A 1,663-nucleotide genomic window follows, 5' to 3' on the forward strand; every position below is an offset into this window, starting at 1 on the left:
TAAAATCATTCCAGGCAGAGGGAACAGTAAGAACAAAGGTACTGAGGCAGGAATAAAAGTGGCTTCTTGGAGGAATAGTGAAAAGACAAAGACCTTAAAAAAAAAAAAAAAAAACCCTTACTTGGCTGGGTGTGGTGTAATCCCAGCACTTTGGGAGGCCGAAGCAGATGGATCCCTTGAGGCCAGGAGTTTGAGACTAGCCTGGCCAACATGGCGAAACCCCATCTCTACTAAGAATAAAAAAATTCGCTGGGCATGGTGGTGTGCACCTGTGGTCGTCCCAGCTACTTGGGAGGCTGAGGCACAAGAATTGTTTGAACCTAGAAGGCAGAGGTTGCAGTGAGCCAAGATAATTCCACTGCACTCCCACCTGGGACACAGAGTGAGCCTCTGTCTCAAAAGCAAAAATACAAACAACAACAAAAACCTTTCTTCCACCACCACACTGTGTCATGCATGCACACAGCAGGTGCTTAGTAAATGTTTGATGAACTGGACAAGACACATCTCTAGTGCTTGATATGTAGGTCTCTATCCAGCTGTCCAGCATTCTGGAGCACAGTGGGTTCTGGACATGCTCATATTTTTCAGCACTACGGCCTGTGCTGCTCACTGAACAATGCTTCATTCTTCCTACAATAACTAGGATGACCCATTACCAAGATAAAAGTTTCTTGTTTTTTCACTTGAAAATCCTTCAACATGCAACGAGTCATGGGAACCCATTCTATTCCATTCTGAGGCCTTTGAGTTCTAGCTCAGCATGAGTATCAGTCAGGTATTTCTACAAATATGCTAGGTAACAAACCACCCCAAAATGCAGTGGCTTACTATAGGTTTATTTTCTTGCTTTACATTTCTGCAGGTCAGCTTTGGCTCTGCTGGGCTGGCCATAGATTGTCTGAGCCTGGATCCAGACTGGTTTCAAGTCTGCTACTGTTTAGTCAAACCTACTAAGATCCCAAGAGAAGAGTGACTTTGGTGAGATCAGCTAGTTGATATGAAAACCCCAGATGAAACCAGGTCTCTTCATGCCTAAATGAGCCTTCAAACTAAGAGCAAACCAGCAAAGCAAACACTGAGACAGGGGGTCACATGAATTCCTCATTGTCTTTGGATAAGTGGTTAACCAAGGCGTGTTTCTCATGACAGATAGCAGATACTAAAAAAGGTGAGCACATTTAACCTCTGCTCATGTCGCATCTGCTAACATTCCACTGGTCAAGGCAAGTCACTCGGCCAAGTCCAATGCCAATGAGGCAGGGAGGCAGGGAGGGAAGCATACTTCACTCTCAGCAGAAAGGAGAGAAGAATGATATTTACTGACCAGTCACCAGTCTATCCCAGCATATAGACAATTCTGACTTTGCTCAGATTTAGAAACTTTATCTGTAGCCAGAGATTTCCTCAATAATGTGTCCTTGATGGAAACTTTCTCCAATCTTTAGATTTACAAAGACTTCACTTTGGGGACTGTCCTCATCTCTGAGCTGTAAGATGCCATGCAGTGACTTTATTCTCCTTGGATGAGGGGAACTTTCTTGCCACATCATTTGCATCCCACTTCCAGCTGGGAGGCTGGAACCCAAAGCTCAGAAGTCTCTTTCAGGGCCATATAAGCTAATCAAGGCCTTGAAGGTAAGCAAGGCCATCAAGATTTGGG

Source organism: Homo sapiens, chromosome 14 (genome assembly GCF_000001405.40).
Source record: "Homo sapiens chromosome 14, GRCh38.p14 Primary Assembly".
NCBI classification, from domain to species: domain Eukaryota; kingdom Metazoa; phylum Chordata; class Mammalia; order Primates; family Hominidae; genus Homo; species Homo sapiens.